Source organism: Homo sapiens, chromosome 6 (assembly GCF_000001405.40).
Source record: "Homo sapiens chromosome 6, GRCh38.p14 Primary Assembly".
NCBI classification, from domain to species: Eukaryota; Metazoa; Chordata; class Mammalia; order Primates; family Hominidae; genus Homo; species Homo sapiens.
The window spans coordinates 76,376,385-76,403,319 of record NC_000006.12 but is presented as its reverse complement, the minus strand read 5'-3'; the positions used below and the strand labels follow the sequence as shown (position 1 = coordinate 76,403,319).

The 26,935-nt window shown below is 37.0% G+C and overlaps 1 annotated feature.

The window, feature by feature from the left end:
• Positions 23,867–24,368: an enhancer, noted in NCBI's record as "H3K4me1 hESC enhancer chr6:77088669-77089170 (GRCh37/hg19 assembly coordinates)". NCBI's record gives its function as "activates a minimal SCP1, AML or CMV promoter by ChIP-STARR-seq in primed H9 embryonic stem cells {active_cell/tissue: H9 hESC(primed)}" and the evidence as "EXISTENCE:reporter gene assay evidence [ECO:0000049][PMID:30033119]".

The window sequence follows — 26,935 nt, the reverse complement described above, 5'->3', positions numbered from 1 at the left end:
TATGAAAATGAAAAACTTTATATAAAAATATTCTCAAAGAACTGAAATCTACTTACTCAGCATTTTACAACAAATCATTTCATTTTACTTCAGGAGCCTGAGTGGAATGTATTTAAGCACAAATACTTCAGAACCAGATGGTTTAGGCTTAATTATGAATCTTTAAGTTAGGCATAATTATTTGTGACCCTTCAGACTAGATATTCAGAAACAATTTAGGAAATATTGCTAAGATTAGGGACACAGGAACTGCCATTCTAAATGAAGAGTATCAGAGGAAATCAAAAGTGACTTGGAGTAAACTGAGCCCATCAACAGGATTGTTTATTATGCTGTTTTGTGTATGAGATAAGCCTTTGTTCCAAGTGAGCCACATTACTATAGACATCAATCTCTATAGGATCTAAAGTCCATCCACCTTTTCAGGATGCCTTGAAGAAGTCAGTACATGAATACTTTTGGGGACACAACCTCATACACTCAAAAATCAGATGTGTCTTCAGGAATCAAGTATCTAATTAGCAGATTGTTGGGCTCTGCTCTGTTAAATAAGCAACTTTCACCTGAAAATGATTATTGTCTTCAGGCCCTGTAAATTAAAAAAAAAAATTACTCTGCTTTTTTTTTTATTATTATACTTTAAGTTTTAGGGTACATGTGCACATTGTGCAGGTTAGTTACATATGTATACATGTGCAATGCTGGTGCGCTGCACCCACTAACTCGCCATCTAGCATTAGGTATATCTCCCGATGCTATCCCTCCCCCCTCCCCTCACCCCACAACAGTCCCCAGAGTGTGATATTCCCCTTCCTGTGTCCATGTGATCTCATTGTTCAGTTCCCACCTATGAGTGAGAATATGCAGTGTTTGGTTTTTTTGATGAGTTCATGTCCTTTGTAGGGACATGGATGCAATTGGAAATCATCATTCTCGGTAAACTATCGCAAGAACAAAAATACTCTGCTTTTAAGATGGCAAATCAACTCAATTTGCAAAATCAGATATTCACACACTTTACAGCTCTTTCTTTCAGGGAGTCTCTAAAAACAAAACTGTGTACATACTTTACAACTAGTTTTTAATCTTCCTTACTTTTATCTGAGCTAGGAATTTGAATCACTGGTCAATTTAAAATTAAGGATGAAATAGAATAGACAAGTTCTAAGTTCTATAAGCTTTTCCCTATGTTGGCTTATCACAATGTGTAAGAGAATACATGAAATGACAACAATATTACTTTACAGTTACAATATTTTTCCTATCTGAAACTTTCTATCTTAAAAACTGGATCTGTAGGGAACACAGCAAAAAAAAAAAAAAAAAAAAAAAAAAAAAAAAAAACCCAGCTAAGTACTAAGTAGTCAAGAAAGATATCATTTTATTTCATTCTGTCATTGATATGTTCATTCTGTCATTCATCAAAAGGAATTAAGTGTTCACTACTGTATACCAGGCATTTTGCTGATCACTAAGCATAAATTAATTAGCAAAATAATCTCTGTTCTCATGAAGTTCATCTTCATGTTCATAGGCATTCCCTCTTAGCCTATTTATTTTTAGTTTACATATAATTCTAACAGCCCTATATATCTAGGTGTCATGCTTATATCAGAATAGAAACACCAAGTCACAAGGGAAAAAGACTACCAGAAGTACAATAAGGACAGGGTAAAAGGAAGACCTAGCAAGGAAAGAAAACTTAATAGGATTTATTGTTCAATAAATACTGAGTGTCTGTTATGTACTAGTGCTGCTCTAGGAGCTAGACAAAACCATGAAACAAAAGAAACAAAAATTCCCACTATCCTTGGCATATCTTCTAGTAACAACTCAAACAAGCATCAAAAAGCACATGAAGCTGAGAGTATTTAATATGTGGTAAAGATGTGTAAATAAAGGTTGCTAATATTATAGCAGCTAACACTGTTCTAAGGTTACTAATATTATAGCAGCTAACACTTTTCTACCACCATGTATTGGGTACTCTTTCAAGCATTTTCTCTAAAATAATTTATTCAATCAATGTAATGGCCCTCTGAAATATGAATTACTATTTTTCCCATTCTACAAAAGAGGAAGTTGAGACATTTATCCAGAGACAAACTTTTCCAGAAGTGTAGGCACAATGTACAAATGTATGATTATTCTGATGGAAGCTGCAGTGAGTATCCTGCTCACACACAGCCCCACCTCATACTTCTAGTTGCCCCTGGAGATTCTTCAAGGAAAGGGAGCCCTAGGCTTTGCCGAAAATAATGTGAAAACCACTGACTGAGGAAAGCTTGTTTCTTGTGAGGCTGAATACGTATTATGGTACCTACTGCCTCTCCTCTAAAAAGCTAATGTGCCTTTTACGCATGTCCTTTCATCTTTTCCCATCATCTTTCTATGAAGTAAGGAGGAAAAAAGCTATCTCTGTTTTATAAATGGGTTTAAAGAGGCATGAAAAAGTAAAGTGATGAGAATGTTTTTATCAGCTACTATGAGATTCATCGAATCACAGAACTAGAAGAGTTCTGTTCTTCCCTCTGAATACCAACAGGGCCTAAATTATTAATTTAGCTAAAAATAGATTGTAGAGAAGGTCATTTCACAAACAGTTCAGTAATGTTTTCAACTTAGGATTTTCATCCTCTACCAGTATTTATTGAGCATTTGTTATATAAGCCTGTCACTAAATTAGAGCTAAGACCACAGAGAGGCCTATGACCTGTACAGCTGAGCTTAAAGTCTAGTTAAAGAGAAAGAATATAAATGTTATTTTGGATGTATTTCATATCCAAAGCCATGTGTCCATGTGTGTGTTAGTATGGGTAAATGGATGGGTGAATAGATGAAGAATGGAAAAATAGATTGGAAGGATGGATGGATGAATCAGATGGAGGGAGGAAATGGACATATAGAGATAAGCTACCAAATAAACAGTAAAGGTATGAATGCTTTTACCAGTGTACAAATCAGTGCAGTATCACTGAGGCTGATTAAATGATGCTTACTATTAAATATTTAAGTAGGCAAGAAAATAGGTTCTGGACATTAAAAATGTTTTTATATATCTGATGCTAAGTAAATTATTCAATATATCTATAATAACCAAAAAATTATTATTCATAAATCCAAATTCAATAAATAAGAAAGTAGGGTTGGAGTTGTCTTTAAAAATAGATTGTTTTGGAAAAGTAGAAAGGAAGACATTACCAACATAAAGGAGAAAGCAATGCCAGAGAGAGGAATACAGCTTGTTCATATGCAAGAAATAAATTTGTATGTTTGATGCGGAAGTAACATATTGGGGTGAGGTGAGAGATTCAGTTGGAAAGAAAAGCAAAGGCTAGAATGCAGAGTGCCCTGAAAACCAGGATGGGTGTTTACCGTTTCTCTTCTGCATATTAAGGAGACATTATAGGTTTGGGTTTTCATTTGTTTTGGTTTCGGTTTTTAAATTTTTCCTTTGATTACTTTTTAAAACTAATATATGCTAACTGCTATCTGTGAAGATTATTCCATAAGATAAAGGTATGATTAAGAAAGAGAAAGCAGCCTATATTTGCTACCAAAGACCACAATTCTCCTGCTCAAATATTCCCTTCTTATTATTAGAAAGGCCTGCATTTACCAAGCAACCTGAAATAGGCCCATCTCAAATGGATCCCCAAAAACTCTACCTCCTTTCACTCTGCTTTATTTATCTTTATAGCACTTGTGTCTAGCTACCACAAATGTATATACTTACTTACACTTGTTTATTTTTGGTTTTCCACTAGAATACATAATTCTCCCAGAGGGCAGGGAATCTAACTTGTTCACGGCTTTATTTCTACTGATTAGAATAGCCTTTGACACATAGTAGGCACTCAGTAAACATTTATTTTTGAAAGAATGAGTTTAACCAAAAATGAGTTATTCTATGGAAAATCTACAAATATGTAAACTCAGTTATAGTTATAGTGTATGTATTAGTTTGCAAATCATTAAGTATTCTCTTTGAAGTTACAGTCCTTAGCCAGGCATGGTGGCGAATACCAGTAGCCTCAGCTATTCAAGAGACTGAGGTGGGAGGATCCCTTGAGCCCAGGAATTCAAGGCCAGCCTAGGCAACATAGTTTCCAAAAAACTAAATTACATTTCTTAATTAGTTCACATATATTTGACATTTTAATATTTATGAATTGTTCTTACAAAACACCTAAAAAGAACCATAAAGATAGCCAACAACTTTCCATAGTTACAAGCTGTTAAACTTTTATGGTAGAAAATTTACTGTGACTCTGTTATTTGATTCCATGACATTATAGATTCCAGAGGAAAATAAATTAAAACTTATATTCAGTAATTAAAAATTGTTTTCAATAAATAATAAAATGTGGAAGGTATTTTTATAAATGTTATTTATGATACCAAAAGGGAAAATGTTTGTGATAGAAAATTAAATAATGGGCAGAAGACACTTAACTGTTTAAACACTTTGATCCCTTTTTATTCTGAAAAAAATGTATGTATGCATGTGCATGCACGTGTGTGTGTGTGCGTGTGTGTGTGTGAGATAAGAAAAAAATCACCAAATATGCATCAAGCCATGATTTATCTCTGGGCATTAGATTTTAGATGATTTTATTTGCTCTTTAGAATTTGAAATATATCCAATTTTCTATAAAACACATTATATTAATAATAGTTTAGAAATAAGCCAATACTATTTTAAGTGAAAAAAATTAAAGTAAGTTAAATAATGTGGTTAAATTTTGGCAAAATAGACAAAACCAAGCAAATGATAGAATATAATCAACTATTACTAATTCTAAATGTATTTGCTATCAAAAAGTATCAAGAAATAAGAAAAAATATATAAGCAAACAATAGTATTTAAATCCATGAAGCTCAAATCTCAGACCTGGGCAGGAGAAAGAAGGATCACCAAGTCTGGGTTATAAATCTGCATAAGCCAAAAGGAAAAGAGCCAAACTATGGCTTCTCTTTTAGTGCTAACAAACTTTGGATAAATTTCACATTAAATTGAAACCTGGCTACTTCATCTAGGTTTTCCACATAGAAGTGCAAATTTTCTGGCAAAGGAAAGGTAATAAATCAAAAGTCCATCCAACTCATTTGTTTAAACCTTGTCTTTTGTTTCCAGTATATTGTGAAAATATTCATCCTCTAGGACTTCCAGAGAAAAAGAGAGTACTGTCTGTCCTCATCCCACATCCCTCCCTTCTTTCGTAATCCAGGTGGCAGTTCAATTGGCCCACAATTCCAAATGGATTATATAGCTGTCATATTACTCCCAAGAAAACAGAACATTAAAAGAAAAAACAATAAATTGCAAAATAAACTATTTTATATTTAGAATCAAAGACTACATAGGAAATTTCTGACTCCCCTACACTAATAACAACTCCAGAAACTCTAGACCAAATGATAGGGTATCAAAAGCAGCAATGGAAATATCTTTCAGCTGTGTAATTTTGTTAAGCCACTATAAACTTTTAGGTGTACCTAAGAACACTCATTTTCAAAGATAGCATGTTAAGACAAACATATACATAAACAAATAAGCATCTCTTTTGAAGGTGAAAAAATAGGCCCTTCAAAAGCATTATAGAGCTTATTGTTCATTCAACTAATCAAAGTTCAGGAATGATGCATCTGTATTTACAACTTTCCCACTCAATGCCCTCTCAACTCAGCTTCTCCAACTGTAATATTGGGACAAGGATAATCTGTTAATTCATAACATCTGTTGTCCTTTAGCAGAAGGAAACTTTTGAATCATCCTTCCCCAGTCACTTGAATTCCAATCAGCTCAGAACCAAATACTGTTTTGGCTGTGATTCCATCTTTGAGCCTGAAAATTAACCTCGAGCACAAACACATCAAGAATACACATATTCTCGGTAACCTGACCACACATTTGATTTTTATAGTAGAGAAAGGTCAGTTCAAATTTTAGACAAATAGTCAGGCATAAGCATTTGGACAAATAACCCTCTGTCTGAGGGGATAGCTTTAGGTATCAAGTTTACTCACTGGTATTACAGTTTCATGACAAGTTTTTATGGTGCCACTGATCTGGATTAACAAATACCAAAAATTCAAGCCAAACTCACATTGAACTCACATTGAAAGAGTTATTTTCTTTCTTTCTCTCTCTCTTTCTTTCTCTTTCTCTCTGTCTCTCTCTGTGTCCCTCTCTCCCTTCCTCCCTCCTTCCCTCCCTCTCCGTCCTTACAAGAGATAGTTTGCTGTAACAGAAAATGTTATGTAATGTATGGGCACTAGGCTGCTATCCCAGAATGATCCCATTCTTCTCTTCATCTAAAATTTTGTTGCAAATACAGAAATGTATATCCGTATTTTGATTTCCTATTTTCTCCCCAACCTTTTTCTTAACAACACACTGTTGTTAACTATAGTCACCCTACTCTGCTATTGAACATTAGAACTTATTCCTTCTAATTTTATGTTTGTAGCCATTAACCAACCTCTCTTCATTCCCGCTCCACACCTACACACACACACACCCCCACACCCTTCCCAGCCTCCTGTAATTATCATTCTATTCTCTACTTCCAGGAAATCAACTTTTTTTTTCATTCCCACATATGAATGAGACCATGCAAAATTTGTCTTTCTATACCTTATTTAACTTAAAATAATGACCTCCAGTTCCATCCCTGTTGCTGCAACAGACGTGATTCATCACTTTTTATGGCTAAATAGTATTCCATTGTGTATATATACTACATTTTCTTTCCCCTTTCATTGATTACAGATACTTCAGTTGATTCCATACCTTGGCTATTGTCAAGAATGTTTCAATGAACATGACAGTGTAAATATCTCTTCGACATACTGACTTTCTTTCCTTTGGATAAATACCCAGAATTGGGACTGATGATCATATGATGGTTCTATTTTTTTGTTTGTTGAAAAATCTCCAAAGTGTTTTCCATAATAGCTGTACTAATTTACATTCTACCAACAGTGTATAAGAGTGTGCTTTTCTCCATATCCTCACAAGCATTTGTTACTTTTTGTCTTTTCGATAGTAGCCATTCTAACTGAGGTAAGATGATATCTCATTGTGGTTTTGATTTGCATTTTTTCTGGTGATTAGTATGTTGAGCATTTTTTTTACTATACCTGTTGCCCACTTGTCTTCTTTTGAGAAATGTCTGCTCATGTTTTTTTCCACTTTTTAATGAATATTTTTCTTTTTTTGTATCTCTCTTTGCTGATGATATAATCATATCTAGAAAAAATAAGGCTCTACCAAAAAACTCCTAGATTTGATCAATAATATCCATAAATTTGCAAAATACAAAATCAACATACAAAAATCAGTAGTGTTTCTATACATCAGTAATGAACTACCTGGAAAAAAATCAAGAAGACAATTCCATTTACAATAGCTACAAAAAAAATACCTAGGAATAAATTTAACCAAGGAGGTGAAAGACCTCTACCAGGAAAGCAAACCACTAAACACTGATGAAAGAAACTGAAGAGGACACAAACAAATGGAAAGACATCCAATTCCCAAAAATTGGAAGAATATTGTTAAAATGAGCTTTATACTACCCAAAATGATTTAGATGCAATGCAATTCCTATCAAAATACCAATTGCATATTTCATAGAAATAGAAAAAAAATCCTAAAATTTATATAGAAAGAAAAAGTAAAAGAAAGTCAAAGCAATCCTGAGCAAAAAGAACAAAGCTGGGAGCAATACACTACCTGACTTCAAAATATATTCCAAGGCTATTGTAACCAAAAGAGCATGGTATTAGTGTAAAAATAAACACATAGACAAATAGAACACAATAGAGAACCCAGAAATAAATCTACATGTTTACAGCTGATTTCTGACAGAGGTGCCAAGAACATACATTGGGGAGAGGACAGCCTCTTCATTAAATGGTACTGGGAAAACTGGATAACCACATGCAGAAGAATGAAACTAGATCCCTATCTCTCTCACTATGCACAAAATCAACTCAAAATGAATGAAAGACTTAATCAGAAGACCTGAAGCTATAAAACTACTGGAAAAAACATAGGGGAAACACTCTAGGACATTGATCTAGGCAAAGAATTGGTGGCTGAGACCCCAAAAGCACAGGTAACTAAAACAAAGATAGACAAATGGGACTATATTAAAATCATATGCCTTATTGATCTCAAGAGGTAGATATCAGGAGACATTTATAGAAAACATATTCTATAAAATACAGGAAAAAAATAAATCCATTGCAGTCCTCCAAAAATGTGGAAAGCAGTTTGCCTTACCAAGGCACTGGCTCTGGTTTCCAAGAACAAATCCAATTTAGCTCAATCTCTGGTGGCAAGTCGTCATGTAACTAAGCACATTTTGTCAAAATTGGCCATTCTACCTCAAGAGAGATTTAGGATTGAGCTAGTATAAACATTTTTAAATTGTCACATTCTCACTAATAATAGAAAAGATGTAACATGGCAAACTGCACTATTCCAAAAAGACTTTATTAAACTATAATTTTTCCTTATTTTCTTACTTACATTGAATATTCCCATTGCCAAAACATCATTATTTGTTCTGATTACTACCAATAAAAGTTAATATTCACATTTAACTCCACAGTGTCACATTTCTAAAATTCAACACTAATATAGTATCTTTTACCTAAAGATTCTTTCCTAAAGTATTTGAAAACTTCTGAGGCCTGAGAGAAAAACAAGCAGAAACCAAATCACTTTATTTTGGCAAGTTGATTTCCTTCACATTGGTGCCACTTGACAAATTTCTTGACTCTGACATTTCCAAATGTTCTAAACATAATATATAGAAATAAAATATGGAACACTCATCTATTTCTTAATCAGAGAATAAAGTAGACCATGACATTTACTACAAAGGCATTATATAGTCAATAGAATAAAAGTAAAAATAAATTTTTGAACAAGGATGACAGACACATAACATTAAGTGCATTATCTGTAGTCATTAAATGTTAGAAAAAACACTGTATATGTCATTCTATCATAATAAGGACTAATGCAAAAAGAAAAGAAACATGTTGTAATAACATATTCTCAACTCTTGCTCACAAAGTCCTTTCTTTGATAAAACAGTTCCATCACTGAAAGAACACAGCACATAATGCATCTCTAAATAAGTATTCTTAGATTTACCTCTTAAGACTGTACATGTAAAAGTATCATAAGAGTATTAAAAAAAAGAAAGGAAACACGTTTTCATAGCATGTTATCAACTCTTAAAAAAAAAAAACAGAAAAAGGAAAAACAGAAATAAGACTGCTGACACAGTTCTTGCCAATCATGTCTGAGGATCCTAGCACCATGACTTTCCGCACTATCAACAACCTCTTGGAATATGTGACTTTATAATATACATGTAACAACAATAGTAGTAATAATGTAAAAATAATAATGCATTAGCATTCATTCAATTCTGTTGATGTGGTAGGCTCTATGTTTATCACTCTGCAATCAATTTATAAACATAATCCTAATCACAATCCCATAAGACTGGTGCTTTTATTTTTTATTATTATTTGACTGATGACACTGAGGTTTAGAGAGAGAACTTGCACAGACTCAAACCGAGGTCTCTCCAATTCCAAACCTTGAGCTCCTATTGGATTTAAAAATATTAAGGAATTATCATGTAAGGAATTTTGGTGTGTATATGAAGAGAATTTTAAATTAATTATTTAAAAAAATTAAACAGTTAAAACTTGTAAAAGTTTTTTCTAAAAAGTTTAAAAATTTTGTGCCATTTTATCAAAATGTACACTTTTTAAATTTTCTTCTATTGCCTTCATAGTCTATATATCATGTTTATTTAACCAAGCAATGCTACTCTTTTTCAGTCAGCAAAAACTTGGCTTTGCTACTTTAGTAGAAAGGTTTCACATAAATGGTTAGGGTATGAGAGGTTTTTTTTTTTCGTTTTTTTGGTTTTTTTTGACAGAGTCTTGCTCTGTCGCCCAGGCTAGAGTGCAGTGGTGTGATGTCGGATCACTGCAGCCTCTGCCTTCCAGGTTCAAGCAATTCTCCTGCCTCAGCCTCCCGAGTAACTGGAACTACAGGTGCACACCACCATGCCCGGCTAATTTTTGTATTTTTAGTAGAGACTGGGTTTCACCATGTTGGCCAGGATGGTGTTGATCTCCTGACATTGTAATCCACTCTCCTCGGCCTCCCGGTTTTTTTTTTTTTTTTTTTAAATAACATTAATTTGATTCTTAAGGTTGCCTCTTGTAGCACAATACATACAAAAGCATATAAGATATATATGCATAACCCTACATTCCGAGGATATCTCCTCATGCACTTACAGGCAAATAAAACGAGATAATGTGAAAAACAAAGTGAACAAAGACTAATAAAGAACCATGTCTAACCTTTGTCCCTGGTAATGTTTCCTAGATTTAAAACCCACCATCTTTATCAGAGACTAGGATTGCAACCCCTGCCTTTTTAGGTTTTCCATTTGCTTGGTGGATCTTCCTCCATTCCTTTATTTTGAGCCTATGTGTGTCTCTGCATGTGAGATGGGTTTCCTGAATACAGCACACTGATGGGTCTTGACTCTTTATCCAATTTGCCAGTCTGTGTCTTTTAATTGGAGCATTTAGCCCATTTACATTTAAGGTTAATATTGTTATGTGTGAATTTGATCCTGCCATTATGATGTTAGCTGGTTATTTTGCTCATTAGTTGATTCAGTTTCTTCCTAGCCTTGATGGTCTTTACAATTTGGCATGTTTTTGCAGTGGCTGGTAGCAGTTGTTCCTTTCCATGTTTAGTGCTTCCTTCAGCAGCTCTTTTAGGGCAGGCCTGGTGGTGACAAAATCTCTCAGCATTTGCTTGTCTGTAAAGTATTTTATTTCTCCTTCACTTATGAAGCTTAGTTTGGCTGGATATGAAATTCTGGGTTGAAAATTCTTTTCTTTAAGAATGTTGAATATTGGCCCCCACTCTCTTCTGGCCTGTAGAGTTTCTGCAGAGAGATCCACTGTTAGTCTGATGGGCTTCCCTTTGTGGGTAACCCGACCTTTCTCTCTGGCTGCCCTTAACATTGTTTCCTTCATTTCAACTTTGGTGAATCTGACAATTATGTGTCTTGGAGTTGCTCTTCTCGAGGAGTATCTTTGTGGCATTCTCTGTATTTCCTGCATTTGAATGTTGGCCTGCCTTGCTAGATTAGGGAAGTTCTCCTGGATAATGTCCTGCAGAGTGTTTTCCAACTTGGTTCCATTCTCCCCGTCACTTTCAGGTACGCCAATCAGACATAGATTTGGTCTTTTCACATAGTCCCATATTTCTTGCAGGCTTTGTTTCTTTTTATTCTTTTTTCTCTAAACTTCTCTTCTCACTTCATTTCATTCATTTGATCTTCCATCACTGATACCCTTTCTTCCAGTTGATCAGATCAGCTACTGAGGCTTGTGCATTCATCATGTAGTTCTCATGCAGTGGTTTTCAGCTCCATCAGGTCCTTTAAGGACTTCTCTGCATTGGTTATTCTAGTTAGCCATTTGTCTAATCTTTTTTCAAGGTTTTTAACTTCTTTGCCATGGGTTCGAACTTCCTTCTTTAGCTTGGAGAAGTTTGATCATCTGAAGCCTTCCTCTCTCAACTCGTCAAAGTCATTCTCTGTCCAGCTTTGTTCCGTTGCTGGTGAGGAGCTGCGTTCCTTTGGAAGAGAGACGTGCTCTGCTTTTTTAGAATTTTCAGCTTTTCTACTCTGTTTTTTCTCCATCTTTGTAGTTTTATATACCTTTGGTCTTTGATGATGGTGACGTACAGATGGGGTTTTGGCGTGGATGTCCTTTCTGTTTGTTAGTTTTCCTTCTAACAGTCAGGACCCTCAGCTGCAGGTCTGTTGGAGTTTGCTGGAGGTCCACTCCAGACCGTTTGCCTGGGTATCAGCAGTGGAGGATGCAGAACAGCGGATATTGGTGAACAGCAAATGTTGCTGCCCGATCGTTCCTCTGGAAGTTTTGTCTCAGAGGGGTACGCAGCCGTGTGAGGTGTCAGTCTGCCCCTACTTGGGGGTGCCTCCCAGTTAGGCTACTTGGGGGTCAGGGACCCACTTGAGGGGGCAGACTCTCAGTTCTCAGATCTCAAACTCCATGTTGGGAGAACCACTACTCACTTCAAAGCTGTCAGACAGGGACATTTAAGTCTACAGAGGTTTCTGCTGCCTTTTGTTCGGCCATGCCCTGCCCCAGAGGTGAAGTCTACAGAGGCAGGCAGGCCTCCTTGAGCTGTGGTGGGCTCCACCCAGTTCCAGCTTCTGGGCCACTTTGTTTACCTACTCAAGCCTGGGCCATGGCGGGCGCCCCTCCCCCAGCCTCACTGCTGCCTTGCAGTTTGATCTCAGACTGCTGTGTTAGCAATGAGCTAGGCTCTGTGGGTGTAGGACCCTCAGAGCCAGGCACGGGATATAATCTCTTGGTGTGCCATTTGCTAAGACCGTCAGAAAAGCGCAATATTAGGGTGGGAATGACCCGATTTTCCAGGTGCCATCTGTCACCCCTTTCCTTGGCTAGAAAAGGGAATTCCCTGACCCCTTGTGCTTCCCAGGTGAGGCGATGCCTCGCCCTCCTTTGGCTCATGGTCGGTGTGATGCACCCACTGTCCAACAGTCCCCAGCAAGATGAACCCAGTACCTCAGTTGGAAATGCAGAAATCATCCATCTTCTATGTCGCTCACGCTGGGAGCTGTAGACTGGAGCTGTTCCTATTTGGCCATCTTGGAACCTGAATCAAAACCCGCCATCTTTGTGCCATTTTGTGGTCAGTAGTGTGGACACCAAGTGCAGAGAAGGAACACACTGGATACATTTGATGATTATTGTCTTTTATGAGGCTCCAATTCTCATCTCTATTGGAATACTCACTATTTTTTCTCAGTAACAACAGAATAAGAATGGTTGAATATAGCTCTAAATACATCTGAAATAAATTGTTTTGTCCCTCTTATGAGCAAAGGAAAACTAAAATGGAAAATTCCATTAAGCTAGAATTGGCTGATTGTTTTGTCCATAGAGCTCTTAATAGCTTAAAGGAAATACTACAAAATTATTCAAAGTTACACGTTTAGCATTAAGGAGTTAATGTAATTTAAAACCATTAGGAAACTGTAAATTGCAAAACTATATGTATATAAGGCAGCATTTTTAGGGTGATATTTTTGCAATAATACAATACTTTTTTAACCTCAATTTTAAATATGCCAGAAATGTTGTTTTATAAAAGATGTTGAGGCTGGGCACGGTGGCTCACGCCTCTAATCCCAGCACTTTGGGAGGCCAAGGTGGGCGAATCACGAGGTTGGGAAATTGAGACCATCCTGGCTAACATGGTGAAACCCCGCCTCTACTAAAAACACAAAAAATTAGCCAGGCGTGGTGGCAGGTGCCTGTAGTCCCAGCTTCTCAGGAGGCTGAGGCAGGAGAAGAGCATGAACCCGGGAAGCGGAGCTTGCAGTGAGCCGAGATCGCACCACTGCACTCCAGCCTGGGCGACAGAGCGAGACTCCGTCTCAAAAAAATAAATAAATAAATAAGATGTTGAGTAAAAGTCACTAGAATTAGATGACAATGGAATGAAAAAGGAAAAAGAGAAGCTGCTTTGGGCTACACTGTGTAAAATAATTTTCTCCCACTTTCCTTCTGTATTAAGGTAATTATCTGTTTGTTCATTTAGAACATATCACTATCATAATAGAGCATTAGAAGAGTGATCATACATGCTGTTTTCCTTGGAATGATTCTAATTTATATGAATTATGGTGCAAAAAATTAAAAATAACCCCCTCACCTGATATGGAAGATACATTTACTACAACGGCATTATATGAGTCCCTTGGGTATCACCAATTCAAGGCCTAATCGATTGTTAATTCCCTATGCCTCCAAAATTTCTCTTTTATTACTTCCGCCCCTTTATCTCTATCTCTTATAGTTTAGTTGAGCTCTTCTTAAACTATTTAAGGTAAAAGACCAGTTTTATTTTTTCCAATCTACTGTAGATGGAACTTTTAGAAACATAAGTTACTAGAAAAAATGAAATGAGACAAAAGACAAGCCTCAATCTTTTTGTTCTTAGATTAAAAATATAAAATTATTTTGTCAACTTGTTATAAAATATTCTAAATGCTTACTATCAATTTCTATAGTTACCTCTTCTCAGTCTGATAATAGTTGATAGAATTACACTTGTCCACAGACCTCATGTAGAGAAGCACTGGCCTAGTCTGTTTCCTTAGATTTACCTTCCAATTAACTAATCCCTTCCAGATATGTATCAAATATACTTTGAACCTATCCATTTAATTTCATTGGTTGCATTTTTTAATTTTAGAATTTCTATGTAGTACTTTATTCATTTATGCTCTTGCTCATGAATCAATGTCTTTATTTCTCTGAATGTGACATGATTAACTCAAAGGCTTTAATATGTTTCCAATGCTTATTCAGCCTCATCTGGTTCATATTTTAGACACCATCTTCAGCAGTAGTTGTTTTCCCTGAAGTCCCTGTCTTCCTTAGGCTATGGACACTATCTACAAAGAATGACTCTAATATTCCTGCAAGTCATCCATCTCCAAAGTTTGTGCACATCTCTAACAGAGTTCTCTCTTTGTTTCTGGTGCCTGGGTATTTTTCTTTCATGGTTTTATATGCTCACCTTTTTTTTTTCATTGTTCCTGGTTTGTTGTTTCAACATCATTTCATTCTTCCATATTGTAGAATATGTCTTAATGCCTTACATTATTGTTCATATGAAATTTTAATTTATAATTATCAATGCCCAGAATAAAGACATCTACAGAAAACTATCATAATATTGTGGGAAAAGGCTGGGATAAATGGTTGAAGAGAACTTTCCATGTGCTATACAAACGTCTGGTAAATGGTGAAAGTTCCCAGGTCACAGTACATGTGATTGATTTTATAGAAATATCTATTCCAAAGTAAACCTTATCCCCAAATAATAAATCTTTGACAATTCCAAAATAATAGGCATAACATTTAAGCCATTGTTTATTAATATATTTATTATAAACATGAAATTGGGTAAGGGCGGAGGACAGGTAGATTTTTAGAGGTATTCGAGTGGCTGTTTGTAAGGTTTGACAGACAAATTTGTTCCCAGAAAATAAATAGCACATAGGGTGATCATTGGGTAGGAAATGCATCATCAAATTTTTCCTTGTCCCTAATTGGATTACATCATACTAAAAAGCTCCTGCACAGCAAAGGAAACAAGGTAAAGAGACAACCTACAGAAAATATTTACAAACTGTACATCTGAGAAGGGGTGAATATCTAAAATACATAAGGAACTAAAAGAACTCAGAAGCAAGAAAATAACGGACATTTCTCAAAAGACATACAAATGTCCAAAAGGCAAATTTAAAAAGGCTCAAAATCACTAAACATGAGGCAAATGCAAATTAAAACCACAATGAGAAATCAGCTCACACCTGTAAAAATTGATATTATAAGAAAAGACAAAACATAATTGTTGCCGAATGCCTACACACTGTTGGTGGGAAGGTAAATTAGTACAACCATTATGGAAAATAGTGTGGAGTTTCCTCAAAAATCTAAAAATAGAACTACCATATGATCCAGCAATCCCACTATGGCATACAAATCCAAAGGGAATGAAATTATTGTGTTGAAGAGATAGCTGCACTGTCATGTTCATTCCAGCATTGTCCACAGTAGCCAAAATATGAAATCAACCTAAGTGTCTACTAGTGAATTAATGGATAAAGAAAATGTGGCATATATATGCAATGGAATACTATTCAGTCATTTTAAAAAAGAATGAAATCCTGTCATTTGTGAAAACATGGATGGACCTGGAGGACATTATGTTAAGTGAAAAAAGTCAGGCACAGAAAGACAAATACTAAATCATCTTACTCATATGTGGAATCTAAAAATGTTGATCTCACAAAAATAGAGTAAAACACTGGTTATCGGGGTAAGGTTAATAGGGATGAGGGTTTGCGGAGAAGTTGGTCAAAGGATACAAAAGTTCAGTTATATTAAAAAATAAGTTCAAGAGATCTATTGTACAACATGCTTGTTAATAATGTTAACTGTAGTTGATAATTTATCATATTCTTGAAAATTGCAAAGAGAGTGGATATAACATGCTCTTATGACAACAATTATAACTATGTGAGGTAATGAATATGTTAGTTAGCTACATTTAGTCATCCCACAATGTATCTACTTCAAAACATTATGGTACATACACACAATTTTATCTGTCAATTTTTAAAATAAAAAACAACTTGTTCTTAAAAACCAGGTAGTATCCATTTATTGTCAATTTTCTGTTTGATCAAAATAGAGTAGCTCTTTATTCTAACATCGGGAAGACATGTTTTTGTGCTGCCACATCTTCAGTTAATGTATTGGTCCTTTTTTAATAAGTGATGAAAAACATTCTGATTAAATGTTGAAATTCATTTTTCTTTATCTTTTTTTTTTTTTTGAGACAGATTCTCCCTCTGTCACCTAGGTTGGAGTGCAGTGGCATGATCTGGGTTCATGGCAACCTCTGCCTCCTGGGTTCAAGCGATTTTTTAAAACCTCCATTTAAATACCATCTAACCCACAGGGAAATTCTCTTAACTTATGATCCTTTTCTATGACTTCAGTGAAACTTCTAAAGTGGCCTAGACTCCCTTAGAACGTGTTCACTTTTCCCCTGGTTTTAGCTGGCAGTGGAAAGAGAACACTCTTAAGAATATGAAGGCTTGAGTTTTAGGTCCAACTGTGCTTCTAATGAACTGTATAACTTTGGAGAAGTCACTCTACCTTCTGGAAATGAGTTTTCACATTTGTAGGAAGAAAAGTTTGGACTAAGTTTTTTGTTCCTTTTATATTTCTAAGATTTTGTTTTCAAGGACATTTAGCTACTTATTTTTCATATTTTATTTTCACATGATGCTAATTATATTTTTTGATTAGGTGGTCAATATACAACCTACATACTTTTGGATTGTTCTGTTTTAAATACATATAAATAGATTTTGTCTACTCACTCCATCCTTGCAGTGGCTCTGCCACTTTAATGCAGATAGCAAGGTTTGTTCAATGTGGCAGAGAAAGTTACAATTTTGCTGATTTAAATGAACCATAATTCAGGTTCTCAAACTTTCTGTTTATGTCAGTGTTCATTTCATATAATAGAAACTCTAAAATACACTGCCTTCTATAAGATAGAAGTTCATTTCTATATTCACATAAAAACAAGTCCACAATTTTGCAGTCAAGCTATACCAGTTCCAAGTGGAAACTGGTTCTTCAGGTTCCTCCTATTTTGGGCCTCTACCATCCTCTAATCTTGAAGACCAAAGAAAAATATTCATTCCTCTAATTAGTCTATCTGCCGTCTGAAAGAGAAGCATTTTTATTTAAATAAATACAATGGCTTCCTATAAACTGGTACTTAACTCTGGAGACTTGGAAGGATTTAGGAAAACATTTTTTGACAAGGAAATTTCAGAGGCAATGTGTCATATTTTATATTACCTCATATCAGGAGACACATAATGTCAGGTTATTTCTTACTAGTGACACTACAACACTAAGGGAGACCATTTAGTTAAATTAGTAACAACTAGATCTCTCTATTATAATGATACTTTGATTCTTACAATGAATAAGTGACCTGAATGCTACTACTTAGGCACCCTGCTGATATATTCTGTTCCCCTATAACCTTTCACCTAATGATTATAGCATCCATTGATAGTTCTTGGCTAAATAGTTAGTACACTGAGGGTCACAGCATGACAGTTGTCTAATTCTTTCATTTATTCTTCGTTTATTAACTAGCTTTCTTTTATAAAGATAGACTCATCTCACACAATAAGATATTCCAGGGTGTCAAAGAAAAGTTTCACTGAATAGAGTTATATAGGCAAGGAAAACTTATAGGACTATTTCAATAGAGCGGACATTGAACTCAACTCTGGAAAAAAAAAAGTGGGAGGAGTTTTAAGCCCTGGGGTGAGGCAACACAAAGAACTGGAAGATGTTAGGGAGAAGGTTGGCCAATGTGATTGGTTATCTGTGTTTGCTAAGTGTTGCTTGTCAAAGGTAGGCTCCTACCCTCCCACAGAAACTGGGAGATTGGAAAGCTATCTTTCTTGATTATTACATTTCAATGGTTGACCTCCAAGTCCCTGAGGATAACACTTCTGTATTGTAAAACTGACAAGAAGCTGGAAGAAGATTTATATATCAAAGAGGAAGAGTAAAAAATTACAATAGAAAGTTTTCTCCAAGTCAATGTTCTAAAAAAAAAAGTAGGTCACAGACCTAAACGCAGGAAGAAACCCTCTAAAATTTAGTCGAGGGAAACATTGAGGCAGTCTTGATGAAAGCTTGTCTTGTACTTTCCCATAACCCAACATACATCATGTTCATCTTAAAGGTCATTTCTTGGTCCAAAATAGTTGCTAGAGTTCAATTATCATGATCACTTGCCAGGCAGCAGGAAGGAGAAAGGTGAAATAAAAAACAACATAGGCCAGCTATCTGTTTTTCCCTTAAGGATCCTTAAAACCATCCAACAACTTCTCTTAGCATGTAATTGGTCACCCCAGCTACAAGGAAGACTGAGAAATATGATATTTTAGCTGAGCACATTCCTGCCTGGAAAAGTCAGCAATCTGTTAGTATTTTTAATGATGAAAATGGCTATTGAGTAAAAAACCACAAGTCTCAAACATACTGGTAAACATAAATGTTATACATTATGGAAATAGAAGCACTGGAAACTCTGAAGAAGTTCAATAAATTATTTTTCCTCAGATCAGCTACATATTGTATTTTGTTTTATTAGGAGTATATCTCAAGCCCAATGATTCACATCTGCTTTCAGCAAATCAACCTAAGAAGGTACAGAAGGATAATATTCTTTTCTATTCAATGACCTAAAGAAAGACAAAGTGTAGAAAATATTTTGAACATTGTGGTTTATAGGACATTTTCGTCTGGTTTAAGAACTTGTTGCTTTAGAGATGGAGAAATAAAACTTAAAAATCTGTAAGAAAGAACTTTCAATTAATGACCCTCAGATTGTATCTATCTTGACGTGAATCAAATCAGAACTCAAAGTTCCTGATTAATCCTGTCTGCCTAATCCTCCAATTATGTAAGGTGGTTCCAACAAATATCAGGAGCATCAGTGAAAACCACAGCTCTTCTCATTCATTACAACATATACTGGAAGAGTATTTCAAACCAGGAAGAAATGTTCCTAATTAGACAGGGTGATATTCCAATTGAAATTACAATTCTAGGCTTTAACTTGATACAGTTGCTTCTGGTTTAAAAATAGACTATGAATAATCTTTCATACTTTCTACATAATCTACATAAACATCCTGAATAAAATAAAACTTAAGCACTCACACTTGAGTTCATAATCATGATCCAAACACATTTGTTTTAATGATTATGTTTCTCTAGGTATATTCTTAATTTTTCCCTAGTAGTATGACTAGCATACTATAGACATAGTACATATTGACCATGTGGACTAAAAACATAGTTTATATTAAACGCTTTATTTCTAAAACACTGAGCCTACAATTTGTAAATAAAAACATATTTAGAGAGAAGGCAGAGCAAGATGGCAAAATAGAAGGCTCCACCAATTGTCCCCTCACTGCAAGGACACCAAGAAAACAATTATCTACACAGAAAAAAATACCTTCCTAAGAACCAAAAATCAGGTGAGCACTCATATTACCTGGTTTTAACTTCGTATCACTGAAGGAAGCACTAAAGAGATTTTTTAAAGTCCTGAAACACTGCCTCCACTCCCTATCCCCACTGGCAATGGCAGCATGGTGTTGAAAGCGTCTCTAGGAACTAGGGGAGGGAAAACACAGCAGTTGTGAGGCATTGAACTTAGTGCTGTCCTGTTACAGCAGAAAGGAAAATGCAACCAAACTCAGCTGATGCCAGCCCACAGAGAGAGCCCTAGCCAGAGGGGAATCACCAATCCTAGTGGTCCTAACTTGAGTGCCTGTAAACATCACCGTGGTGGTCTACAGTGCTCTGTGTCTCCAAATAAATTTGAAAGACAGTCTAGGCCATAAGGACTGCAACTCTTAGATGAGTCCTAGGGCCAGAGACAGTGGACTCAGGGGGCACACGATATACTGAGACACCAGCTGGGGCAGCCAAAAGAGTGCAGGCATCATCTCTCCCCTAACCCCAGCCCGCACAGCTCATGGCTCCAAAAGAGTCCCTGTCTTTCCACTTAAGAATAGGAGAGGGGAGAGTGGGTAAGATATTGTCTTGCATCTTGGTTACCAGTTCAGCCACAGCAAGAAAGGGCACCAGTCAGTTATAAGGCCTTTGTTCTGGGCCTAGATCTCAGATAACATTTCTAGACACACTATGAGCCAGAAGGAAACCTGCTGCCTTAAAGGAAAGGACACAGTCCTGGCAGCATTCATCACCTGCTAACTGAGGAGCCTTTGGGCCCTGAATAACCAGCAACAATACACAGGTACTATGTCCAGAACCTTTGGTGAGCCTCTGACACTTGCTGATTTCAGGTGAGACTCAGCATATTATCAGCTGTGGTGGCTATGGGGCAAAACTCCTTCTGCTTGAGAAAAGCAGAGGGAAAAGTAAAGGGGACTTTGTCTTGCACCTCAGGTACCAGCATGGTGACAGGGGGTAGAATATAAAGTGGGTTCTTGGGGACCCCAATTCTAGGACTTGACTCTTAAATGGCATTTCTGGATATGCCCTGGGCCAGAGGGGAGCATACTGCCCTGAAATGTGAGTCCCAGGCCAGGCAGTATTCACCACAGGCTGACTTAAGAGCCCTTGGGCCTTTAGGGAGCAATAGCTAGTAGTCTGGCAGTACTCCTCATGGCCTGGGGTGGTGGTGACTACAGGGAGAGAAGCCTCTGCCTTTGGAAAGAGGAGGAAAGAGTGGGAAGGACGGTGTTTTGTTTGAGTGCCACCTCAGCCACAATAAAATAGAACACCAAGTAGACTTCTAAGGTTTTTTACTCTAGTCTCTAATGCTCAGACAGCACCTCTGGACCCACCTGGGATCTGAGGGACCTTGCCACTCTGAAGGGAAGGACATAGGTCTGGCTGACTTTGTCACCTGCTGATTGTAAAGCACCAGGGGCTTGAGTGAACATAGGCAGTAGCCAGGAATGATTACACCAGGCTTTGGGTGAGACCCAAATGCTGTGCTGGCTTCAGATTTGACCCAGCACAGTCAGAGTGGTGGTGGCCACAGGGGTGCTTGTGTCACTCCACCTCCAACTGTAGGTGGCTCAGGACAGAGAGACACTCTGTTTGGGAGGAAATAGGAAAGAAAACAAGAGTCTCTGCCTGGTAATCCAAAGAATTCTTTCAGATCTGGTCCAAGAACATCAAGGCAGTACCCCTATGGGTCTGGAAAAACCAGTGTTACTGGCTTGGGGCGCCCCCTAAAGCAGATACAGGTTAGATCACAACACCCAAGTACTTCCAAATATCCCAAGAAGGATGGCTACAAATAAGCCCAGACAGTGAAGACTACAGTAAATACGTAACTCTTCAATGTCTAGACACTGAAGAATATCTACAAGGATCAACACCATCCAAGAAAACATAACTTCACCAAAAGAACTAAGTAAACTTAGTTCAGGGACCAATCCTGAAAAAACAGATATGTGACCTTTCAGACAGAAAATTCAAAATAGTTGTGTTGAGGATACTCAAAGAAATTAAACGTAACACAGAGAAAGAATTCAGAATTATATCACATAAATTTAACAAAGATACTAAAATAATTAGAAAGAATCAGGCAGAAATTCTGGAGCTGAAAAATGCAATTAGCATAATGAAGAAAGCATCAGAGTCCTTTAATAGCAGAATGCATCAAGCAGAAGAAAGAATTAGTGAGCCTGAAGATGGGCTATTTGAACATACACAGACAGAGGAGACAAAAGAAAAGGAATAAAAAACAAGGAAGCATGCCTACAGAATCTAGGAAATAGACTCAAAAGGGCAAATCTAAGAGTTATTGGCCTTAAACAAGAGGTAGAGAAAGAGAAGGTCTAAAGTTTATTCAAAGGGATAATAAAAGAGAACTTCCCAAACCTAGAGAAAGATATTAATATCCAAGTACAAGAAGGTTATAGAACACCAAGGAAGACTATCTCAAGGCATTTAATATCAAACACCCAAAGATCAAGCATAAAGAAAGGATCCTAAAAGTAGCAAGAGAAAAGAAATAAATAACAGATATTGGAACTCTGATACATTTGGTGGCAGACTTTTCAGTGGAAACCTTACAGGCCATGAGAGAGTGGCAGGACATTTTTAAAGTGCTGAAGGAAAAAAAAAAACTTTAATCTAGAATAGTGTATCCAGTGAAAATATCCAACAAACATGAAGGAGAAATACTTTCCCTGACAAACAAGAGCTGAGGGATTTCATCAATACAAGAATTGTCCTACAAAAAATGCAGGACAATTAAAGGGAGTATTTCAATCAGAAAGAAAAGGACATTAAAGAGTGGTAAATACACAGAAAAACACAGAATATTATAACAATGTAACTGTGGTGTGTAAACTACTCTTATCCTAAGTAGAAAGACTAAACAATGAACCAAACAAAAATAATAACTACAACAATCTTTCAAGACATAGTACAATAAGATATAAGTAGAAACAAAAAAACATTTAAAAGCAGGCTGACCAAGTAAAGACATAGTTTTTATTAGTTTTCTTTTTGCTTGTTTGTTTATACAAATAGTTGTTAAGTTGTTATCAGGTTAAAATAATGGGTTGTATAGCATTTGCAAGCTTCATGGTAACCTCAAACCAAAAAACACACAATGGACACACAAAAAATAAAAAGCAAGAAACTATATCATATCACCAGAGAAAATCACCTTCACTAGAAGAAGACAAGAAAGAACCAAACAAGGAAGAGAAAACCAGAAAACAATAATAAAATGGCAGGAGTAAGTCCTTACTTATCAATAATAACATTAAATGTAAATAGACTAAACTATCCAATCAAAAGACATAGACTGGCTGAATAAATGAAAAAATAAGAACCATTTATCTGTTGCCCAGAAAAAACACACTTCACCTATAAAGATACACAAAGACTGAAAATAAAGGGATAAAAAAAGATGTTCCATGTGAATAAAAATCAAAAAAGAGCAGGAATTGCTAAGCGTATATCAGGTAAAATAGACATCAAGACAGAAACTCTAAGAAAAGAGAAAGAATGCCACTATATAATGATAAAGGTATCAATTCAGCTAGAGGACATAATTTTAATATGTATGCACCCAAACTGGAGCACACAGCTATATAAAGTAAATATTATTAAAGCTAACTAGAAAGATGGGCCCCAACACAATAGCTGAAGATTTCAACAGCCTACTTTCAGCATTGGACAGATATTCCAGACGCCAAACAAGGTATCCAGGTTCTCTCATCAAAATTGACCAGAAGGCTGGTGTGACCCATGGAGAGAAGGAAGAACAGTGTGGTGTGGCAGCCCACCTGAAAGCCACAAGGGGAAGGGGAGCTCCCTAGCCCCAGCCAAGGGAGGCAGTGAGTGAGCACACTACCCAGTGGGGAAACTGTGCTTTTTACATGGAACTGTACAACCCATGGACTGGAAGATCCCACTTGTGAACCCACATCACCAGGACCTAGTATCCCAAACGTGGAACGCACAGATTCTTGCAGCCTCTCAGCTGGAATCTGCCTAAGCCCACCAAACTGCTGGAGGAGGGGTGACCAGAGCCAGCCACCACTGCCTGCTGTCTAAGCCCTTCGAGCTGCTTGGGGGAGGGGCAGCAGCCAGCACTGGGACTCTCAACTGCCTAACATTCTAAGCTCCCTGGGCAGGAAAGGGCAGCACCCATTTCTGCAGCTTCAGGTTGCACTTTTCCCCTGCTGGAGCCAGGGAGGCTGGATGGCTTGGTCCCAAGATTTGTTCCTACAGCCCATGACACCAGCTGTGGCAGTCTGCCACCAGAGTGCCTCCTCAGGTCTAACCCTGATTCATCCTTTCTCAGTGAGTGGGGCTTCCTCACAGGATCTCCAATAATTCCAGCCAGAGGTTCAGGGACAGAATTCAGATTTCCCTTGGCCAGTGCCCCTAGGGGAAGGGGTGGCCACAGTCTCTGCAGACCAGCAGACTTAGCCTCTCCTCCTGGTAGTTCTGAGGAATCCGGGCAGCCCAGATGAGTGGGTTTTCCCCCAGCGAAACATGCCCTCTCCATCAAGGGACAAAGTGCTTCGTTAAACAGGTCCTGCTCCCTGTGCCACCCAACTGGGTGAGACACTCCAACAAGGGTTGTCAGATACCCTATACAGGAGCAATCCTACTGGCATCAGGCTGGTGCCCATCAAGGTCAGAAGTCACAGAAAAGGTGCTGGCACCCATTTTTACTGCTCTCCAGCCTCTTGAATGATGTCTCCAGGCACAGAAGCAAATCAGATGAACAGGACCTGAAGTGAACCCCCAGCAAACTGCAGCAGCCCTGCAGAAGAGGGACCTGACTATTGAAACAAAAACAAGCAAGTGGAAAGTGGTAACAATGCATCAACAACAACAACAACAAAAGTCCCTCACAAAAACCCCATCAAGGGTAAGCAGCCTCAAAGACCAAAACTAGACAAACTCATGAAGATGAGGAAGAATCCACGAAAAAAGTGCTGAAAACCCAGAAGCCTGGAGTGCCTCCTCTCCTCCAAATGATTGCAGCATCCCTGCATCAAGGGCGCAGAACTGCACAGAGGATCAGATAGATGAATTGACAGAAGTAGGCTTCAGAAGATGAGTAATAAAAAACTACGATGAGCTAAAGTAGAATGTTCTAACCCAATGCAGAGAAGCTAAGAACTTCGATAAAAGGTTCGAGGAATTGCTAACTAGAATAACCAGTTTAGAGAGGAACATCAATGACCTGATGGAGCTGAAAAACATAGTACAAGAACTTCATGAAGCATACACAAGTATCAACAGCTGAATCGACCAAGTGAAATAAAGGATATCAGTGTTTGAAGATCACCTTACTGAAATGAGAAATGCAGACAAGAATAAAGAAAAAAGAATGAAAAGGAATGAACAAAGCCTCTAAGAAATATGGGACTTCATAAAAAGATCTAACCTATGATTGATTGGAGTACCAATAGGAGATGGGAAGAATGGAAACAAGCTGGAAAACACACTCCAGGATATTATCCAGGAGAACTTCCCCAACATAGAAAGACAGGCCAACATACAAATTCAGGAAATACAGACAACACCATTAAGATACTCCACAAGAAGATCAACCCCAAGATACATAATCATCAGATTCTCCAAAGTCAAAATGAAGGAAGAACTGTTAAGGGCAGCCAGAGAGAAAGACCAGGTCACATACAAAGCCCATCAGACTAACGGCAGACCTCTCAGCAGAAACTCAGAAGGGATTGGGGGCCAATATTCAACATTCTTAAAGAGAAGAATTTTCAACCCGAATTTCATATCCAGCCAAACTAAGCTTCATAAGCGAAGAAAAAATAAAATCCTGTTTAGACAAGCAAATGCTGAGGGATTTTGTTACCACTAGGCCTGCCCTACAAGAGCTCCTGAAAGAAGCACTAAATATGGAAAGGATAAGCTTGTACCAGCCACTGCAAAAACACACCAAAATATAAAGACCAATGATATTATGGAGAAACTGCATCAACTAGTATGCAAAATAACCAAATAGCATTATGATGACAGGATCAAATTCACACATAACAATACTAACCTTCCATATAAATGGGTTAAATGCCCCAATTAAAATACACAGACTGGCAAATTGGATAAGGAGTCAAGACCCATTGGTGTGTTGTAGTCAGGAGACCCATCATACATGCAAAGACACATATAGGCTCAAAATAAAGAGGTAGAGGAAAACTTACCAAGCAAATGGAAAGCAAAAAAAAGCAGGGGTTCAGATTTTAAATCAACAAAGATCAAAAAGGACAAAGAAGGGCATTACATAATGGTAAAGGGAAGAATTCAACGAGATTAGCTAACTATTGTGAGTATATATGCAACCAATACTGGAGCACTCGAATTCATGAAACAAGTTCTCAGAGACCTACAAAGAGACTTAGACTCCCACACAGTGATAGTGGAAGACTTTAACTCCCCATTGTCGGTATTAGACAGATCAATGAGACAGAAAATTAACAAGGATATTCAGGACTTGAACTCAGCTATGGATCAAGTAGACCTAGTAGATGTCTTTGGAACTCTCTACCCCAAATCAATAGAATATATATTTTTTCTCAGTGCCACATGGCACTTATTCTACAATCAACCACATAGTTGGAAGTAAAACTCCTCAGCAAATGAAAAAGAACTGAGATTATGACAGTCTCTCAGACCACACTGCAATCAAATTAGAAGTCAGGATTAAGAATCTCACCTAAAACCACACAATTTCATGGAAATAGAACAACCTGCTCCTGAATGACTCATAGGTAAATAATGAAATTAACGCATAAATCAAGAAGTTCTTTGAAACCAATGAGAACAAAGAGACAACATACCAGAATCTCTAAACACAGCTAAAGCAGTGTTAAGAGGGAAATTTATAGCACTAAACGCCCACATCAGAAAGCTGGAAAGATCTAAAATTGACACCCTAACATCACAATTAAAAGAGCTAGAGAGGCAAGAGAAATTGAATCCAAAAGCTAGCAGAAGATAAGAAATAACTAAGATCAGAGCAGAATTGAAGGAGAGACACGAAAAACCCTCCAAAAAATCAACAAATCCAGGAGCTGTTTAAAAAAAATAATAATAACAAAATAGACCACTAGCTAGACTAATAAGAGAGAGGAGAATC